This window comes from Homo sapiens, chromosome 2 (genome assembly GCF_000001405.40).
Source record: "Homo sapiens chromosome 2, GRCh38.p14 Primary Assembly".
Classification (NCBI taxonomy): Eukaryota; Metazoa; Chordata; class Mammalia; order Primates; family Hominidae; genus Homo; species Homo sapiens.
The window spans coordinates 172,349,869-172,371,208 of NC_000002.12; the positions used below are offsets into that span (position 1 = coordinate 172,349,869).

At 44.3% G+C, this 21,340-nt stretch overlaps 1 long non-coding RNA gene across 6 annotated transcripts in view; it reads left to right on the top strand.

The window, feature by feature from the left end:
- The window catches only part of LOC107985960 (uncharacterized), a 119,748-nt gene extending 99,443 nt beyond the window's left edge, over window positions 1–20,305 (top strand). For 5 of the 6 annotated variants that reach the window (XR_001739775.3, XR_007087297.1, XR_001739776.2 and 2 more), the window contains 2 exons: window positions 17,903–18,013; window positions 20,208–20,246. This is a non-coding gene — a long non-coding RNA (uncharacterized LOC107985960). Of the gene's footprint in view, window positions 1–17,902; window positions 18,014–20,207 lie in introns of all 6 variants that reach the window. The other variant, XR_001739773.3, reaches the window with a different exon arrangement.
- The last annotated feature ends 1,035 nt before the right edge of the window (window positions 20,306–21,340 follow it).

The following is a 21,340-nucleotide window of genomic DNA, read 5'->3' on the forward strand; positions in this document are numbered from 1 at the left end:
TGGCGGAGGTTGCAATGAGCCGAGATGGTGCCATTCTACTCCAGCCTAGGCAACAAGAGTGAAACTCTGTCTTAAAAAATAAATAAATAAAAATAAAACAAATTTTAAAAAACACCCCATATTTGTGCTCCCAAAGTGGTCACTAAACTTTGAAATCCATCTCACAGGGTTTGGTGGGGTGGGAGTGGGGGGGAACTAAAATTCCATATGGAAAGGAGGTGGAAGGTGGTCCATGAGTCTCTGGTTTTAGGTATCCTTCATGGGCAATTATCCTGTCTACTATTGGGGCTTGATGAGGTAAGGTGAAGTCAGGGCAGAAGAAATGGACCCCTGCCTCCAAGAAATAATCTTAGTCATTAAGTTAGCATTTTCACAATCTTTTACCTTTTTTTGACAGAGATCTAGAAGACAAGACCCAGAGGACACAGGGAGCACAATTATTCCATACTGTAAGGCATAATTGAGTCAGACTCACATTGATGTACATCACTTTCGCTGGGGCACTTTTGTAAAACATCAGATTTCCAGCCACTACTCCAAGAGATTCTAATTCAGAAAGGCTGGGAGAGGGCCCTCAGTCTTCATTTTTAACAAAGACCCAGTGTTTCTGATGTCTACCTCACTTTTAGAAAGATTGACATAGGTCTTTTAAGCTACAGTCAGTGACTCTACTGGATGGTCCAAGTGTTTCCTAGGAGAGAAGCTTTTCAGGAAATGGGAGAACTGTAATCATTGAGGCACAAAAGAATAACTGAGGCTGGGCACAGTGGCTCACACCTTTAATCCCAGCACTTTGGGAGGCCAAGGCAGGCAGATCAGGAATTCGAGACCAGCCTGGCCAACGTGGTGAAACCCTGTTTCTACTAAAAATACAAAAATTAGCCAGGCGTGATGGCTCATGCCTGTAATCCCAGCTACTCTAGAGGCTGAGGCATGAAAATCACTCGAACCCTGAAGGCAGAGGTTGCAGTGAGCCGAGATCATGCCACTACACTCTAGCCTGGGCAACAGAGAGAGACTCTGTCTCAAAAAAATAATAATAAAATAAAAAGAATAACTGAAAAGATCCACTGGCAGGCAAACATGGAAGGTGATTCTGTAAAGAGAAGAGGGTGCTGGGACTCTCTGACGACCACAGCTTCCTCTTCTCCTGTGGTCCCTTGTCCTCAAGACTCAGGCGTGGGCCACTCCAGGCTCTGGGTGACACAGACAATGTTAAGATGGTGCAGGTGTCACAGAGAATCAGAATACCCTCTGTCTCAGTAGGAGGACTTGGAACTTGATCACGTTTATCCGCCAAACAAAAACAAGACCTGTGACTGAAGTCACCAGCGGCCAAACTTGTACAGCTGTCCCACAAAGAGAGGTGGCAGCAAGGGCAGCCAGAAAGTCATGGGAGAGCCCTGCCTGTGGATAATGAGCCAGGGTGAGGTCTGAGCTTGGCAACCTTTCTGCTGGGCACTCGTGAAGCCTGTTGGCAAAACCTCGTGTGCTGGAGCTGGGAGCTGGGCCAGGCTGGCCTGTTCTATTAGATTGGGAAACAAAGAAAAATCTAGCCAAGGCTAGAAGGTCTTACTTTGGCCTAGGGTCATTTTTTGGCGACCACACTAGGCCTTGGTTTCATATGGACACGGAGGGAGCTGTATTAGAAGGGAGCTCCCTGAGGGTCCTCCATGCCTTCTTGTTCTGCGATTGAATGAAATAAACAGGACAAAGTCCTTGGTGAACTGGAAGCTGCTCCTTATGTGCATATTTTTGGGTCCCCAACGTGATCTCAGGGCACCTTGCTATTCAATAGGCATCATACACTTCTTTGGACATGTGTTGGGAGGCAATGAGGGCAACCCTCAGAACATGCGGTAGCGTGAGTGGTGCGGTGTGTGAGTCTATGTGTGTCTCTGAATGTGTGTGTGATTGTGTGTGTTTCTAACCTAGTTTTGCTCATGAGGAGCTGCCAACAGGAAGAAGGAAGGATTATTTTGCCACAAGGAGAGCTTGAGTTATACAAAGAAATCCCTTTTTAATGCAGTTGCTGGATTTTGTTTCCAGGAATACAGGGCCTTACCCAGGCTTTGTAGCTCCTGCTCTAGTTCCTGCCACCCCCACCCCTGCTCACACACTCTTGTCACCCAGACAATTGGCCCTTGTCCCCTCAACAATTTTATTCATATGGATCCTCAAACAGGTTCCTTTCTCATGGCTCTTCCATGAAAATCTCTGAACCACACTTGAGACCCTCATCGGCCAGGAAGCCACTCAGGGCCTCTCTGGCTTCTCTTGCAGGCTCTGTTTGTTTCCGCATCATCTGAGGTGCAATGGTAAACTCTTCCCAAAGCAGTCTTGCCTCTTCTAGTGACTATTTGCTCAGGCTGCCGTCTCTTTTGCTTGCTGCTATCAAGAAGGGCCTTTAAAAATACTTTCTCCCAGGAAAGATGTGTCAGGCTGAGCCTGGCATCAGTGGAGTGGCTGTGGACTTTCTGGGGAGATGAGGTAGAGTGAGGAAGGGGAGAGGCGATGCTACTCAGGCCTTGTAAGGACCAGAGAGCAGAGAGGAGCAGAGCCTGAGGCAGAACAAGGGTAATGGATGGGCTTTGCAGGTCTGGGCAAATCAGTTTAATGTTGCTGTGGGTTTGTACTATCATCAGAGGTGTTATGAAGTCCAGCAATTTAAACATACTTGTTTTACGCTATCTTCCATAGCCAGAAATGGCTTATGGATTATTGACTGTTTTTGATTATCTACATCTGTTTTTATATGAACCGGGGCATGTTTATGCTCAGGTCCTCATCAAGACTATTTGGGATGTAACAGCAAATGTACCTGAGCCAGGGGAAGAAGAAAGGGGGAATGTCTCATAGGATACAAGGCTGTGTCACGATGGTAGGAATGTTGCCGAGGCCCCACAGGAGTCCAGAACCAGAAAGGACAGAGCATCCGTGGGCAGGGCAGCCATCTTCTCAGTCTCTGTGGATAGGGACACACGGGGTCTGGTGACTCTGTCTCTTGTTCTATTTGTCCTCCTTTTTCTTCAGAGATATAGATGGCCTACATTGCCTGGGTTTACAGGTGCTCTGAATCACAATTCGATTCTCAGGAGAGAGAATTTGGCTCAGCTTGGTTAGGTGTCCACTCCTGGTCCAACTGTCTCTGACAGAGCGGGGAATAGGTGATGATGTGTAAATATGGCCACTGGATGCCATAGCTGTGGGAGGAGGTAGTTCTCAGAGAAAGCAGGTCACTGTGGGCTGGAGAGATATCCCAGATGTGTCTATTATAGCTGTTCAAAAATACATGTAACCTCTGCATGCCTTTTTCTTTCTCTCTTAATACCCACATTAATAATTTGTTCAGTTGGTTTCTCCTCCATGCTGAAAGTTCCTGGAGGCCAGGGATTTGGTCTGTCCAGTGCTAGAAGCCAGCAGGTTGACTTATACAATGTTCTGCATCTTATGAGAGTTTGCAATAGAGAATATAAGCAGGATATTTAACATCTTTTCAAACTTATGCTTCACCAAGATTAGACACATCTTGTTCTGTTCTAAAATTTAGAATCGGTAGAATTTTAAAAGACTTGTGATTCACACAAGGATGAGACTTGTTCCTAGTCCAAAATTACAATAATATTGTAAGAGGCTTTCTCTGATACTAATCTAGGGGAAAAGGGCAGCTGTTACTAGTAAGAATGTTATGAGTTTCCCCATCTGGTGGCCAGGTTCAAGGACTTCACATAACGACCTGTACCTGGAGAAATTAAGTAATAAAGAAACTAGGAGACATGCTTTTGCGGGAATTGTTGGCAGAGCTGAGACACAAATGAGATCCTCTGCTCAGATCTTGTGCTCTGGCCCCTCGTGGGTATCAGTGCAGACAAGATTGTGTTGTGGGATGTTCCTCATAGACACAATGCCCTCATAGGCAAGAAAATCAACTTTGGGGCTGCTTGCTCTTGCAAACTGTGTGACCTTTCTAATACAATACAACCCCCAGGCAAAGAGAGTTCCATTTTAGAAAAAAGACCAAATTATCGCAGCAAGCAATATTATATCACTAAAGTTGACCAAAGTTATTTGACCTTAAATATTTGTTCCCTGTAACCACTTAAAGGAGCAAGATACTATAGAGGAATGAGTTAAGCTCCATATAGCTGAGAATACACTGATAAAGTTGTTGATGGCTTTTTTTTTTTTTGTCATTGGGTGGTTCTCTTGCAAAAGTTGTTGATGGCTATATATATATATATATATATATATATATATATATATATATATTTTGTCATTGGGTGGTCATCTTGCAGGTTGCTTCTGTCAAAAACCTTTGTGTTAAATTCTAATATTTGAGTTGTAGGCTTGGCTTATTGACCCTGTTCAAGAGAATAAATGCATATCAGTTCCACAGAAGGCAAATTTAGATTCAGACAGCCTTAGGTCAGATCACAGCCCCTGAACATAACTGTGTATAGCAAAAGGCTGATATCAAGCTCTGTGCTGATAAGGCAGGTATCTGTCTTGTCCCTAGCACTACTCCTGCATCTGGAACCCCTAGCACACTAACCCAAGGATATGCTGACATGTCTCACTCACTCCACTATCCAGCTCACCTAAGTGACCTCAGAGGTGTGTGCTGATCCTGGAGATGAGTCGTCGTCCCTGTCCCCCGCCTGTCCTGGAGGCACGCTGGAAAGCCACAAATAGGCCTTCGTAGCAGCAAGAGGCAGCAGAACAGCACCACTGCAATGTTGTCATCACTCTTGGTGTCTCAAGCTCCTTCCATACTCAGCCCCTCTCTTCAGGTTTGGGTCCTTCAAGCTGATTCTCAAGTGTGTCCCCAGTGATAAGAGCCAGAGGTGCTGCTGTCTTCATTGCAGCAATTTTAAGGCAAGTCAAGAGTGATTCAGGTTCTTTCTGTTGATAGAAGGTTGTGAGGAAGAGGTATGGCAGGCACTGTGAGGGGCTGACCTTGAGGGTATCTGGAGTAGGAATGTTGTATACAGCTTGTGTGCTCAGGAGCAGGCAAAGGGAAGATAAACAGAGATGAAGGTGTAGTTGGTCAGGGCACAGTGATCCTCCCTAACGACCTCCATCTCTTTAAACCCTATCATCAGCATCTTGAGGCAGGGAAGGGCTTGAAATGTCATACAGTCCAGTAACCTACCCGATACTGGTATGCTATCTATTCCATACCTGTAGTGGAATACTTCCAGGGGTGGGCAACTCAATAACTTCCATAGCAGTCTGTCTCTGGAGACGATAGCTAGAAAGTGCTACATGTCCAAAAGTAGGGGAATGGTTGAATGTGTAATGTCCATGTGGGATATTATGCAGCTGCTGAAAATAATATCTTCAAGGAATTTGAAAATGATATGTAAAGATACTATAAATGCTAAGTGAGAAAACCAGGAACTAAAACTATTTATAATACATAATTCCACATTTGTGAAAATTTGTGTATGGGTATATGTGCTTATAGAAACATATGTATATTTGCATTAGAAAGACTAAGCCAGGCTGGATGTGGTGGCTCATGCCCGTAATCCCAGCATTTTGGGAGGATGAGGCAGGAGGATCATTTGAGACCAGGAGTTGAAGACCAGCCTGGGCAAAAAAGCAAGACCCCACATTTACAAAAAATTAAAAAATTGGCCAGGCATCATGGCACGTGGCATTGGGAGGCTGAGGTGGGAGGATCACTGGAGCCCAAGAGTCTGAGGCTGCAGTGAGCTTTGGTCATGCCATTGCATTCCAGCCTGGGCAACACAGTGAGATCCTGTCTCAAAAAAAAAAAAAAAAGACTAAGCTAATCTGTGGGTTGAATCACAGGTAACTTTGTTGTGGTAGACACTGTTGGGGGCAACTGAAAAGCCATCTCCTTATCCTTGCTAATCTTCTATTGTATAGGCTGGAAAAGCAGATAGTTTTTTTCTAGCCTCTCTTGCAGCCAGAACTGGCCATATAACCCAGTGTGGCCAATGAAATATACAAGGACATCTGAGAAATTATTTTCTTTTCTTTTTTTCTTTTGAGACAGGATCCCATTGTTGCCCAGGCTGGAGTGCACTGGCCCAATCACAGCTTACTGCAACCTTGAAGTGTTAGACTCAAGTAATCCTTCCACCTTAGCCTCCCCGGTAGCTGGGACTACAGGCGCTCGCCACCACACTTGGTTAATTTTTGTATTGTGTGTAGAGACAAGTTTCTGCCATGTTGCCCAGGCTGGTCTTGAACTCCTGGGCTCAGGTGATCCACCCACCCTGGGCTCCCAAAGGGATAGGATTACAGGCATGAGCTGCTGCTTTGCCTGGCCCAGTTATTTTCTTTTCTGACAAAATGATAGCACCATTAAGGAAAAGGTCCTCTTTGCTACCTTGGCTACCCTCTCGCTGTCACCCTCCTCCCTCACTTTGAGTGCAGACTTGTGCTGTTAGAACTTCAGCAGCCATCTTGTGACCATGAGGCCACAGACAGAAGGATGAGGCCAACACTGAGGATGGTGGAGAAGAAGGTTGGAGAGCCTTAACCACAGGTTACTTCTAGGCTTCTTTTTAAGTGGCAAAAATTTTTCTTTGGTTAAGTCATTATTAATCAGGTTTTCTGTTACTTACAGTTAAATCAATACTAATGGGCACATCGGGTTTCTTCATTATACATTACTCCAATTTCTCCCTGAAGTATCCACTCACTGTCCTGAGTTCACTCCTCAGAGCCAGACATGACAAGCCCAGTCTTTCTCCATGCAGGAGAATTGTAGATGTTTATAGAGAATTCTTGAGTCACTCTGAAGCTTATTGATATGGTTTGGATGTTTGTCCCCTCCAAATCTCATGTTGACATGTGATCCCGAATGTTGGAGGTCATGGTGGAGCCTGGTGGGAGGTATTTGCTTCATGGGGGCGGATCCCTCATGAACAGCTTGGTGTGCCCTCCCAGTGGCAATGCCTTCCCTTCATGTGAGATTTGATTGTTAAAAAGAGTCTGGGATTTCCTCCTCTGTCTTGCTTTCTCCTCACCATGTGACACACCCGTTCCCTGTTTGCCTTTCACCATGATTGTAAGCTTCCTGAGGCCCTCACTCCAGAGGCAGATGCTGGTGCCATCCTTCTTGTACAGTCTGCAAAACTGCGAGCCAAAATAAATCTTCTTTCCTTATAAATTACCTGGTTTCACGTATCCCTTTTTAGCAATGCAAAATGGACTAATACTCTTGTCTTCTCCAGCTAAACAGCACTATTCCTACATTATGCAGTCCGGGGTTGTGTGAATCACGCTAGCCATTTATTCTCTGAATGCACTCTGGTTTGCATCCTTCTAACTGGACGGTAGGCAGACCTGAAGTTGATATTCCAGGGGTCTAACCAGGAAAAATGGAACTGATTACCTATTCCCTCCTTTGCATCTCATTTTTCTATCAGAACAGCTTCAAATTCAGCTTTTCAGGTGCCCTCATCTGAGTTAAACCCCTGACCCATTTTCATGTGTTTTGCATGGACAGTTTGTTTTATTTTGGTTTATTTATTTATTTTTCTCAAGTGCAGGACATTCCCTCATCCTTATTAAGTTTTCTCTTATTAAATTCAGGCTGGCATTCTAGCTTGTTGAGACTTTTGGGGATTGTAATTGGGTGTTTGCTGTTCCTTTCAGCTTCCTGTCCTCCACAAATCTGATAAGCATGCCTCCTCTGTCTTCATTTCAACTCCTTGATAACAAGTGCAACCCAGATGTCAGTTGACGTCACCCTGTCCTTTGAGATTTAAAATAAAATTAACTCGAGCCCCTGTCACACATCCTGTGGGAAGTCGGAGGCCTCCTCCCAAAGATCTTTGCAAAGCTTCAGGGCTTTCATGGCCACTTGTGGTTCCAAGGCCTCCTCCAGCTGGCCTTGGGCTCACACACACCCCACCTCTGGCTGCTCTCCTCTTCAGCCCATGCCAACCAGACTCTTTCCTTGATTTCTTTAAGGAAACTGCTCATATAAGACATGTGGGTGTGTGGTAGACTTCACTCAAGACGTGCAGATACAGGGTGCATTTGGAGTGAAGTCGTGGTTGCACAACATGTACTTACATTCAAGTTATTAGGTATCCTTTTTCTGTCCTGGAAAGCTCCTCAGTAATAACAGCACCAGGACCTTCTCCCTAGCTTCCTTTTTCCAGGTGCTCCTCAAAACTGCCCAGAAACCCAGATCCCAAGTTTTCCCATTAACAGCCCTTGCCCTGGTCAGGGTTTGGGGAGGAGAGCGGGCAATGGGAAACATAAGGGTAGACCCTGGGCAAATTTGTGAAGGAGTGTTTAAGATGCCCCCAGCCTTCCTTTTTAATTCAAGAGTAAATAGTAGATTGCATTTAACCCAACATAATCAAAATGTGAGAAAATATATTCCTGTTGTTTAAGCCAGCCAATCAGTGGTATTTCGTTATGGCAGTCCTAGTAAACTAATGTGACATGTGGTCAACATAAAATATATATATATATGTTAAGGAGTATAATGGGTTGAAATGTGGTCCTTCAAAAGTTGTGTCCATGTCCTAACCCCTGGAACCAGTGAATGTGACCTTATTTGGAAGAAGGGTCTTTGCAGATGTAATTAAATTTAGGATCTCAAGGTGACATCATCCTGGATTATCAGAGTGGGCCCTAAGTCCAATGACAAGTGTCCCTATAAGAGAAGAGGAGGAAATACAGAGACAGAGAGGTAAAGGCCAAGTGCAGACAGAGGCAGAGATGGGAATTATGCAGCCACAAGCCAGGGAATTCCTGGGGGCGTCCAAGAATTAGGAGGCTCTGTTAACATCTTGGTTTCAGACTTCTGGCCTCCAGAACTGGGAGAGAATAAGCTTTTATCATTTTAAATTACCGAATTTGTGGTTGTTGCAGCAGCCCTGGAAAACTAATATGAGGAGGGATTTTGTGTTCTTTGTTCATTCTTTGAAACGTGGTGCATATTTTTTATTTCTAGCACAGCTCAATTCAGAATAGCCGCATTTCATGCCAGTTTATTTGGGAAGTGATCCCAGGCAGTTGGAGTGAGGGAAGGGATGGAGTCATAGGGCAGGAGGCCAAGATGCACGGTCAAGTCTGCGCCAGCACACCCACCCCTCCCTCATGCAGTTCACTTTTATGTCCTTGTGCCCACAATGGCCAGCACCTTTCAGGTACAAGGGGGCTCCTGGGGCTGTCACTCAAGCTGGAGTTCCCTCCCAGGGTGGCAACCGTTTCATCCATGTGAAACTCAGAGCCACCTGTGCAGTCTCCCTCAGGGTGCTGGCTGGTGATCCGAGCTGAGCCCTGTGGCTGGGAGGCTGGGAAGTTTCCCCAACGATGTCCACATCCTGCCCTTCCCAAGATGGAGGATCCGTGTCCACATTCCCACCATTCTTTCCCTCCTGCATTAGTTTTCTAGGGCTGCCGTGACAAAACGCCACAAACTGGGTGGCTTAAACAACAGAAGGTTTTTACCTCACAGTGCTGCAGGCTGGAGGGTGAAGATCAAGGTGCAGGAGCATTGGTTCCTCCCAAGGGCTGTGCAGGAAGGATCTGCTCCACACCTCTCTCCTTCTCCCAGGGCCTCTTCACATTGTCTTCCCTCTATGGGTGTTGATCTCCGTGTCCAAATTCTACCACCACCTTTTTTTTTTTTTTTTTTTTGAGACAGAGTCTCATTCTGTTGCCCAGGCTGGAGTGCAGTGGTGCCATCTCGGCTCACTGCAAACTCTGCCTCCCGGGTTCAAGCGATTCTCCTGCCTCAGCCTCCCGAGTAGCTGGGACTACGGTCGCCCACCATCATGTGTGGCTAATTTTTTGTATTTTTGTTAGAGATGGGGTTTCACTGTGTTAGCCAGGATGGCCTCGCCTCGGTCTCCCAACCTTGTGATCTGCCTGCCTCGGCCTCCCAAAGTGCTGGGATTATAGGTGTGAGCCACTGCGCCCGGAGTAAATTCCCCCTTTTTATAAGGGCACCAGTCATATTGGATTAGGGCTCACTTTAATGACCTCATTGTAATTTGATGACATCTGTAAAGACCCTGTCTCCAAATAAGATCACATTCTAGGGAGCAGGGGTTAGGGCTTCAATATGTCTTTTTGTGGGGAACACAAATTCAACCTATAATACCTCCTTCTGGTTTCACCTCATTATCAGACCCAATGCCCCTGGGCTTTACCTGGAATCTGTGGTCTATTTATTTCTCTAAATCTCTATATTTAGTTTCCTCATTTGTAAAATAGGGGCCATCATATTTATTTTACAGTGTTGTAAGGGTTAAATGTGATAAAATATGAGGCCATGCTATACAATATGAGCTGGTGTTCTTGTTGCTTCCCACCACCACCCCCTGCCCTTCATACACCCTGACTAAGAGGTGGGACAAGGCTAGCTGGTTCCTGGAATCTGTCACCAGCACCGAAGTAGCCAAAACAGACAGTGTGACATAAATCTAAGATAAAATTGGATTTTTCTAAAGGGAATCCACCAAGGAATAAAGTTAGACTACCCAATATGCAAAACTATAGAAACAGATGAGTGTGTAGGATCCCTATAAAGATTTTAACATAGGAAGAATGAGTGCAGGTAGGCTTGGCTGGCATGTGGCTATAAAGTTTGCCCGGGGTTAGCCCATTCCCCTTGCTTCCATCTTGCCTGCCTCACTTCCCTAATCCCCTAGTGTGGGGTCATTGGCTGGTGCTCATGGCCAAGCTCAGTTCTCCAAATCCTGTGGCCTCATGCATAGCCCATCACCAAAGGGACTCAGCTTAGCATGGGTGCCCCAGCTCGCACTGTTCCCACATCCTCCCAGGGACCGGGGCCAGCCCCTCAGAAGTCTCATGGTTCAACTCAAGGGATTTCAACAGTGCCTGCTCTGTTATGCATCCACCTAGGATCTTTTCTTGAGTGGAAGGAGAAAGTAAAATCTTTTTTTTTTGGAGACAGAGTCTCGCCCTGTTGCCAGGCTGGAGTGCAATGGCGTGATCTCGGCTCACTGCAACCTCTGCCTCCTGGGTTCAAGCGATTCTCCTGCCTCAGCCTCCCAAGTAGCTGGGATTATAGGCATGTGCCACCACACCTGGCTAATTTTGTATTTTTAGTAGAGACATTGTTTCCTTCATGTTAGTCAGGCTGGTCTCGAACTCCCAACCTCAGGTGATCTACCTGCCTCAGCCTCCCAAAGTGCTGGGATTACAGGCATGAGCCACCACGCCCGGTCAATTAAGTCTCCATTTTAATCTTGTGTAACTGGGCCCATTCTCCTACCCTCACTAGCAATATGAAAGATTGGAGAGGAGAGGGGAGCACCTGATAAGGCCTTGTATGAGGAGGCGTCTCTGAAAGCCTTGGGTTGCTTTGCTGTCTTCCCTGAGCTGGGGTAGAGTAGAAAGAATTAGATGATGGGGGAATTTACTGCAGTATAAAAGCATAAACCTTTGGCCAACATGAAGATTTTCTTAATCTGATTAGGTGCCTGGCATTCAGAATCATTTAATGCCTATTGTACAAAATGAATAAAAATGTGCTGAACTTCAGCTGCTTAATAGAACAAATAAAATTATAATTTACTAGGCTAATACATCACAAGGAATGGGGCTGTTTCTCTTTGGGGAATCTAGAGACCTGTGATTCAGAGTTCTGAGTCGAAAGACTGATTTGAACACTGAAGAATCCATAACAACAGATAACAAACAGGTCAAAATCCAGCAAAGGGCGTGCTCACCCTTTCCCAAATTCCTCCTCTGTTCTGGTATTTACCATATCTGGAACAACGTCAGAACCCTAGTTCTGATGATATTTTTATAGGATTGACTGGAATGGCAATTACCCTAGAATATTTAACTTTTATTATCCCAGCAATTCCATCTAGAATATATAAAAAGGCAGGAGAAACTGCACTCAACTCCACCTTCCCATTGCTAATTTCCTTCCTTTCTAGTCAGTTAATAGGTCTCAAGAGGCTGTGTTAAGACAGTATGTTCAGAAGCTTTCAATTTTTTAAATTCTGTTTGAACATTTTCTACCCAATCTATAATATCGCTTCTCCAACAGAAAAGCAACAATTATAACATGGCTATGGCTTTTCTTTGAAAAGGAAAAAGAATGGGGTGGGAGCAAGGGTGGGGCAGAGAGGGGCACGTGGGCTTGAAACTAAGTGAAGACATGTGTGGCCAATACAGATTCGCAGAGAGGCAGCTGGGAATATGCTAATATCCCATCTCTCCTGTTCAGTGCCATCTAGCTCCTAGCGATGGGGAAGAGGCGGGAATGCCTGTCATTAATCTGCTGAAAACTACACCTCAAAGATCATCTTGAACTTGATGTTGATTGAGAATTGATATTAATTTTCCCAACTTATCTTTTGGAGAAGGAGCGTGGACAAATGAACTTGAGGCTATCTTTTTTTTTTTTTTTTTTTTGAGACAGAGTCTTGCTCTGTCACCCAGGCTGGAGTGCAATGGCATGATCTCTGCTCACTGCCACCTCCACCTCCCAGGTTCAAGCAATTCTCCTGCCTCAGCCTCCTGAGTAGCTGGGACTACAGGCGCCCACCACCATGCCCGGCTAATTTTTGTATTTTTAGTAGAGGCAGGGTATCACAATGTTGGCCAGGCTGGTCTCGAACTCCTGACCTCAGGTGATCCACCCGCCTCAGCCTCCCAAGGTGCTGGGATTACAGGCCTGAGCCACTGCACCCAGCTGAACCCAAGGATATCAATGGGTTTAAGCTATGGGCACCTGATTCCTGAGCACTGCACAAAGACACTGTCACAAAGACACTTAGGCAAAGACAAGTACTACTTCAACACTATGGATTTCACAACCATGGACAGCCACAGAAACCTGTTGTTTGAATGTTCATTGACTAAATACGTGTTAAGAATCCCCTAGCTGGTCAAACCTATTTGGGCTTTTTCTGCCTTCTTTGCTAAATTCAATATCCAAGGACATTTTCTACCACTCTCCCCCTTGTGTGCTCCAGCCGTAGTAGCATCCTCGCTGTTTCTTGAACACAACTAGGGTGGCTCCCACCCGGGGCTTCTATACTTGACAGTCCATCTATCCAGAAGCTCTCTCTCAGATAGCAATATATGGTTCCATCACCTCCTTAGGTCTTTGTTCAAATGTTATCATCACTGAGAGTTCCATCCTTCCCCAATTCTCTGACACCTCCATTCAGTCTGCTTGATCTTTCACTTATGTATTTATCATCTCTCTCTTTCTCCCCTAAAATGTGAGCTTCCTGAGGAGTCTTGGTTGTTCACTGCTATATCCGTCCTCATCCTAGATTGGTGCCAGGCTTAGGGTAGGCACTAAGTAAGTATTTATGCAATGACTAGATAAATGAATGAATGTCCTCCTGAAGCCGCTTTCCTTGTGAGGAATCACATATCTGCATATCATCTATACATTTTGAGGAAGTTAGCATCTAGGGCAACCATGTCCAACCCTTTGAAGGCAAGGATTTTTTGCTTATTTCTGTGGAGGAAATCACGAAAATTACGCACAGAGTCTTGCTCTGTCACCCAGGCTGGAGTGCAGTGGCACAATCTCAGCTCACTGCAACCTCTGCCTCTGGGGTTCAAGCAATTCTCCTGTTTCAGCCTCCCAAGTACTGGGACTGTAGGCACACGCCACCATGCCCAGCTAATTTTTGTATTTTTAATGGAGATGGGGTTTCACCATGTTGGCCAGACTGGTCTAAAACTCCTGAACTCAGGTAATCTGCCCACCTTGGCCTCCCAAAGTGCTGGGATTACAGGTGTGAGCTACCGCACCCAGCCAATTATTTTATTTATGTATTTATGTATTTATTTATTTATGCATGTCAGCTATTGTTAGTGTTAGCATATTTTATGTGTGGCCCAAGACAATTCTTCTGCTTCCAATGTGGTCCAGGAAAGCCAAAATGTTGGATACCCATGATCTAGGTCCTGTAATGTGCTTTTGTTATTTTCATAACTACGGCAAGCAACGCTTTTTTAAACACATATTTATTTCCAAGTGAAAGTAATAGAAAATAGGAAATTCATTTGATCAGTTAGCAAACTTTCACTGAATATTCACTCACTCTACAATAGATCCTATGGTAGGTCTAGGGATTCAAAAATTAATTAAGACGTAATTGTTGATTTCAAGGAATTTCTGGCGAGGCATGGTGGCTCATGCCTGTAATCCCAGCACTTTGGGAGACTGAGTCAGGAGGATTGTCTGAGCTCAGGAGTTTGAGACCAGCATGGGCAACATAGCAAGACCTCATCTCTACTAAAATAAAAAAATCGCTGGGTGTGGTGGCACATGCCTGTAGTCACAGCTACTTGGGAGGCTGAAGTGGGAGGATCACTTGAGCAGGGGAAGTTGATGATGCAGTGAGCCCTGATTGTGCCACTGCACTTCAGCCTGGGCGACAGCAAGACCCTATCTCAAAAACAAACAAGCATACAAAAAAAAAAAAAAAAAAAAAAAACAAGCAAAAAACTTCTACTAGGAAAAGAAAAACAAACCAAAGAAAGAACAAATAATATGTGCTATAGTGGAAACCATGTTACATTCCTCAGGGTAAAAGGCTAAGCAGCTTTAACAAACAGACCCAACAATTCTGTGGCTTAAAGAAACAATGAATTCATTTATCTTGCCTAACAGTGAGGGTGGGTAGGCAGGATGGCGTACACAGTCATTGAGGAATCCATATTGCTCCCCTTCCACCCAAAGACTTTGTCCTTCTCTGCATGACTGAGGTAGATTAGATTATTGCTCAAAAATAGTTATTTCCTCCCCTAAACCTCTATAAAAGATGTTTTGTGCTCCTCCTCTTGAATTTGGCCTCCACCATGTGACTTGCTTCGGCCAAGGCAAGGTTGGGAGCAAGTGTGGCTCAAGCAGAATTTTGACATGTGCCTGCACAGCTAGGCTCACCCTCTGCCATCCCTGCCATCACAGTAAGAAGTTGCCCTAGGTAGCTGCTGCCCCTTCAGCTTGGGTCTCAAAATGAACACTTGTGGAACAGATCAGAACTCAACCCCAGCAAGAGTCAGGCCCTGCCAGACCCATAGCTTGAAGCAAAGGCACTTAGCCAACTCTCCAAGAGAAGAAATGATTCTTGTTTTAAGCCTGGGTTTTAGGGTGGCTTGTTACCTAGTGCTAGCTCACTGATGCAATGGTGAGCACTGGGTTTCATAATACATCCATGTTCCAGCTCACAGGAAGGGGACAGAGAGCAGAAAAGCAATGCAGTGAGGTGGGAGTGGCACAAATCACATCTGCTCACGTTCCCCACACGGTCACACAGAGCTGCAAGCTGAGAGTGGGGGTGGTGTGGGAAAGTCAGTCTGTGGTAGGGTGGCCATGTATTTAGCTACTTCCCCATTGTTATGGAGAACAGGGAGAATGGATTATTTATTTATTTATTTATTTATTTATTTATTTATTTATTTTCTGAGACAGAGTCTTGCTCTGTTGCCAGGCTGGAGTGTAGTGGTGTGATCTTGGCTCACTGCAACCTCCATGTCCCGGGTTCAAGCAATTCTCCTGCCTCAGCCTCCCGAGTAGCTGGGACTACAGTTGCCCGCCACCACGCCCTGCTAATTTTTGTACTTTTAGTAGAGACGGGGTTTCACCATGTTGGCCAGGATGGTCTCGATCTCTTGACCTCATGATCCACTTGCCTCGGCCTCCCAAAGTGCTGGGATTACAGGCGTGAGCCACGGCGCCCGGCCAGGGAGAATGGATTTTAGGGGCTAGCTAGCAGTACGTGCTACATGCAAACAATGACCGAAATGGAGAGGTGAAAGGGACCATCAGAAGACATTTCTCAGAAAAACAAAATACTTTGGTTGAGGCCTGGGGGTGTGGAAAAGGCAGGGAGAAGCATTCCAGGCAGAAGAAGCAGTGCACACAAATGGGAAAAATACACGGGAAACTATGGCTTGATGAGGGGCGGTAAAGAGATTGATGTGATTGGAGTGGCATCGATGGTGCTGGAAGGAGAGCCGGTGTAAGCAGAGGCCTAGCATGATTAAGACATTTGGGCAGCTGAGAGGGCACATAGTTTGTTTTACTTGACTTTCTATCCTGATAGATCTTTATGATCGTTACATGGTCACAGAAAAAAATAGAACTGAGGCAAAAGTTTTATAATGTGCCAGAGCTGGTTGTGTGCACCTTCTCTGTTCTATCTGACTTGTTTTCTCCTAGGAAATGGGAGGTGGGCATGTGCTTCCACCTGGGTGCCCCCATGTCTTTGACATGGTCCTCACTCCTGCAGCTTCAGGAACCACAATGCACCTTTTCCAGCTTTCTGCATTGCCAATTCAAACTTCCACCTTCCTTTCTCCAAATGCTGTCTGGGAAGCACATACATTTTTCTCCCCACTTCTCTATCTCCTAACTTCCATGCAGAAACTAAACGAAGTCAGAAGATTACCCTAGACCAAGAAATGGAGATTATAATTTTCAACACCTTAATTGTTGAACTGTAGAAATGCTATAATGCAGCCTGGTATGTGGGGTTCATTATGTGGGAATCATGTCCTGGACAGGTGGATGGATGAACTCTCTAGTCCATTATTAGATATTAGCCCTGTCTCTCGATAAGTTCATTATGTTGTGCCTTGTCTGTTTTGGACTCTCTGTTTCTGCTTGCTTCCTTTCTCAGTCTTGGCTAACAGAAGCTGGAGCTCACATTTTATGTGGCTTCCTGGTCTTTATTCCTTTCAAGAGCTCTCCACAGGGCAGGGCTTTATAGAGATATGAAATGTATGTGGTGTCAGCAGAACCCAGTCCCAGATGTCCCAATGCTGGAAGACTTCTATCAGGCAGGTGCTGCGACGCGTCTGCTTCACTTAGGGCCTGATACGTTGCAGATGTCCTAACATTTGCAACCATCAGCATGAAGTCCAGATACTATCACTCAGGATTCCTAAACTCATCTTCTCAACACTTATAAAACTGCCCAATCTTCAGTATGCTAAGCCAGCGGCATTAAGCAAATGGGGAAAATAAAAGCTCCTTTTAAGCACATTATTTTCTACAAGAAAGCTATTTTCCATGTGAATTTTTGGAAAAGTTCCCCCTGACATAATGTGCCTGCAGCTATGCCAGGAAGAGGGAGTCGAGAAGCAGCCCTGCTGTCGGTGCCTTCTATAAGCGTTTTGGAAGAAACTCCTGGAATCTGGCTTTCAGATAACACAATGGGTTGGCTTCTTCTGATGATTCTTGGCGGCACCCGAGGAAGCAGAAGAAAGTGGGTTGCTTCTTGGGGGCTGATGGTGCAGCAGTGGGAACTCTAGTCCTTCCGGTCCTGGAGGTGTCCTAAGGGTCACCCGACAAATCCCTCTGCATAAGGAGGGAGGCAGCCCAAGGTGATTCCTCACCCCTCACTGATCACTCTGTGGCCCCTGAGAGCTGATTGGACTAGGAGAAGACCTGACAAAAGGGCCGCTGATCTATTGGCTGGCCCGTCAACAGAGTTCACCCAATGGGGATAAGGATAGAAACCACCTGGACCAATCAAAGCCCTTTCTCTCAGGATTTGACTGTAGTAAAGCATCCCGTAAAGCAAACAAACCTGAAGGAAAATAGGGACAGAGTGAGTGACTGTATCTCACACTGCTGGAGTCCTGGAGTAGGAACCCATGAACTCCCATCACTGAGCTGACAGAGAAATAACCCGGGGGCCAGAGCTGCATAACATTCTAGTCCAGGGCTCTAGCCAGAAAACAGGAAGGACGGCAAAAGCTCCTACAGCACTTGCTGTGTGCCAGGCACCGTTCTGAGCACTTTACCTATGTGATCTCATTTAATCCTCACAATAATTCTGTGAGGTAGGTGCTTTTTATCATTCTGTCTTTACGAGGAGGAAATTCCAAAGAAACTACCTATAGGCATGCCTCGTTTTACTACCTTTTGCTTTATTGTGCTTCACAGATGCTGTGTTTTTTGCAAATGGACGGTTTGGGCAACTCTTTGTGGAGCAAGTCTATCGGTGCCATTTTCCCAACAACATGGATTCACTTCATGTCTCTGAGTCACATTTTGGTAATTTTCTCAATATTTTGAACTTTTCATTATTATTATATCTATTATGGTGATCTGTGATCATGTCTTTGATGTTACTATGGTAATCGTTTGGGGGTGCCAAGACCTGTGACCATGTAAAATGGCAAACTTAATTGCTGAATGTTGTGTGAGTTTTCTGACTCCTCCATAAATAGGCTGTCCCCCCACCCCCACCCCCCCACCATATCTGTTCCTCTCCTCAGGCCTCCCTATTCCCTAATTAGCAATTAGGCTAATTAATAATCCTACAATGGCCTCTGAGTATCTGAGTGAAAAGAAGAGTCACATATCTCTCATTTTAAATCAAAAGCTAGAAATGATTACGCTTAGTGAGGAAGACATGTCAAAAGCTGAGAAGGCTAAAAGTTAGGCCTCTCACACTAAACAGTTAGCCAAGTTGTGAATGCAAAGGAAAAATTCTTGAGGGAAATTAAAAGGGCTACTTAAGCAAACAAACAAATGATAAGAAAGTGAAACAGGCTTATTGCTGATATGGAGAAAGTTTTTGTGGTCTGGGTAGAAGATCAAACCAGCCATAACATTCCCTTAGGCCGAAGCCTAATAATCCAGTGCAAGGCCCTAACTCTCTTCAATTCTTTGAAAGCTAAGAGAAGTGAGGAAGCTGCAGAAGAAAAGTTAGAAGGTAGCAAAGGGTGATTGACGAGGTTTAAGGAAAGAAGCCATTTCCATAACATAATAGTGCAAAGTGAAGCAGCAAGTGCTGATGTAGAAGCTGCAGCAAGTGATCCAGAAGATCTAGCTAAGATGAAGGTGGCTACACTAAACAATAGACTTTCAATGGCAAAAACTGCAATTACTTTTGTACCAGCCTAATAGAAGAAATTGCCTTTCACTGGAAGAAGATGCCATCTAGGACTTTCGTAGCCAACGAGAAGTCAATGCCTGGTTTCAAAGCTTCAAAAGACAGGCTGACTGTATAGCTAGGAGTTAATGCATCTGGGTACTTTAAGTTGAAGCCAATGCTCATTGCCATTCTGAAAATTTTTGAGCCCTTAAGAATTATGCTAAAACTCCTCTGCCTGTGCTCTACAAATGGAACAACAAAGCCTGATGACAGCACATCTGTTTAAAGCATGGTTAGCTGAATATTTTAAGCCCACTGTTGAGATCTACTGCTCAGAAAGAAAGATTCCTTTCAAAATATTACTGCTCACTGACACTTTACCTAGTCACCCAAGAGCTTAATGGGTATGTACAAGGAGATTAATGTTGTTTTAATGCCTGCTAACACAACATCCATTCCATGGACCGTGGATCAAGGAGTAAATTTGACTTATTACTCAAGAAATACATTTTGTAAGGCTATAGCTGTCATAGACATTTCTCTGATATATCTGGGCAAAGTAAATTAAAAACATTCTGGAGAGGATTTACAGTTCTAGATGCACTTAAGAGCATTCATGATGCATGGAAAGTCAAAATATCAGCATTAATAGGAGTTTGGAAGAAGTTGATTCCAACCCTGATAGATGGCTGAGGGGGGTTCAAGACTTCAGTGGAGAAAATAACTACAGATGTGGTAGAAATAGCAAGAGAATTTGAATTAGAAAGGGACCCTGAAGATGTGATGAAATCGCTGCAATCTCATGATAAAACTTTAACAAATGAAGAGTTGTTTCTTATGGATGAACAAAGAAAGTTGGTTTCTTGATATATAATCTATTCCTGGTGAAAATGCTGTGAATGCATTGTCGAGATGACAACAAAGGATTTAGAATATTACATAAACTTAGTTAACAAAATAGCTCCAGGGTTTGACAGAATTGATTCCAATTTTCAAAGAAGTTCTACTATGGGCAAAATGCTATCAAACACCATTGCATGCTACAGATAAATCTTTCATGGAAGGAAGCGTCAGTCAATGTGGCAAACTTCATTGTTATCTGATTTTAAGAAATTGCCACATCCACCCCAATTTTCAGCAACCACCACTCTGATCAGTCGGCAGCCATCAACATTGAGGTAAGACCCTCCACCAGCAAAAACATTATGATTCACTGAAGGCTCAGATGATTGTTAGCACTTCTTAGCAATAAAGTATTTTAAATTAAAATGTGTACGTTTTTTAGACAAAATGCTATTGCATACTTACTAGACTAGAGTATAATGTAAACAACTTTTTTTTGAGACAGGGTCTCGTTCTCTCACTCAGGCTGGAGTGTGGTGGCGTGATCTTGGTTCACTGCAACCTCTGCTTCCTGGGCTCATGCGATTCTCCTGCCTCAGCCTCCTGAGTAGTTACAACTACAGGTACGTGCCACCAGGCCTGGCTAATTTTTGTATTGTTTTTGTAGAGGCAGGGTTTTGCCATATTGCCCAGGCTGGTCTTGGACTCCTGGGCTCAACCAATCTGACTTACTTTTGTAAAATGCAATAAAATTAATGACCTGGGAAAATAAAATAGGTAAAACAGGTATATAAAGTACATTCCCAATTTTTAAATTATTAGATTCAATAAACATAAAATTACTTATTTGTTATATGTGTGAATTTGTTATATGTGTGAATTTGTTATATATGTATAATGTTATCAAGGTTTCTAAACTGCCACTTTCTGTACTTACCTTGCAGTAGACTGGTAACAAATATGTAAGCACTTGACAGATTTTTCTTGCCTGCTGCACAGAAAAGCCAATTCACTGAGACAGAAGTATTGCAGTAAAGAAAGAATGTAATAAATTCAAAGCTAGCCAGCTGGAAAGTTGGGAGCTTATTACTCAATCAGCCTCCCTGGGAACTCAGAGGCTAGGATTTTTATGAATAATTTGGTAGACAGAGGGCTGGGGAATGGGTTCTGCTCACTGATTGGGGATGAAATTATGAGCGTGGAAAATGGTCCTTGTATGCTGAATTAGCTTCTGGGTGGGAGCCACAGGACCATGGGAAAAATTTAGTTATCAGTCTCAGGTCCAGGTAAAGTCAGTCAGTCACAAAAAAGCAAAAATCTGAAAAACATCTCAAAAGACCAATCTTAGGTTCTACAATAGTGATGTTATCTATAGAGGCAATGGGGGAAGTCACAAATCTTGTGAATTCTGGCCACGTGACTCCTGAGCAGTAAGGGATTATAGAAAAGCAAGCTGGGAAACAATGGTTGGTTATTGTTTAACTATGCCTATATTTTAGCATAATTCAGGCATCTCTCATTAGCCTAATCTTGTGGCCTTTCATTACTCCTACAAAGGTGGTTTCAGTCCCTAAACAAGGAGGAAGTCAGTTTTAGGGAGGGACTATTATCATCCTTTCTTCAAAGTTAAACTATAAACTAAATTCTTCCCATGGCTA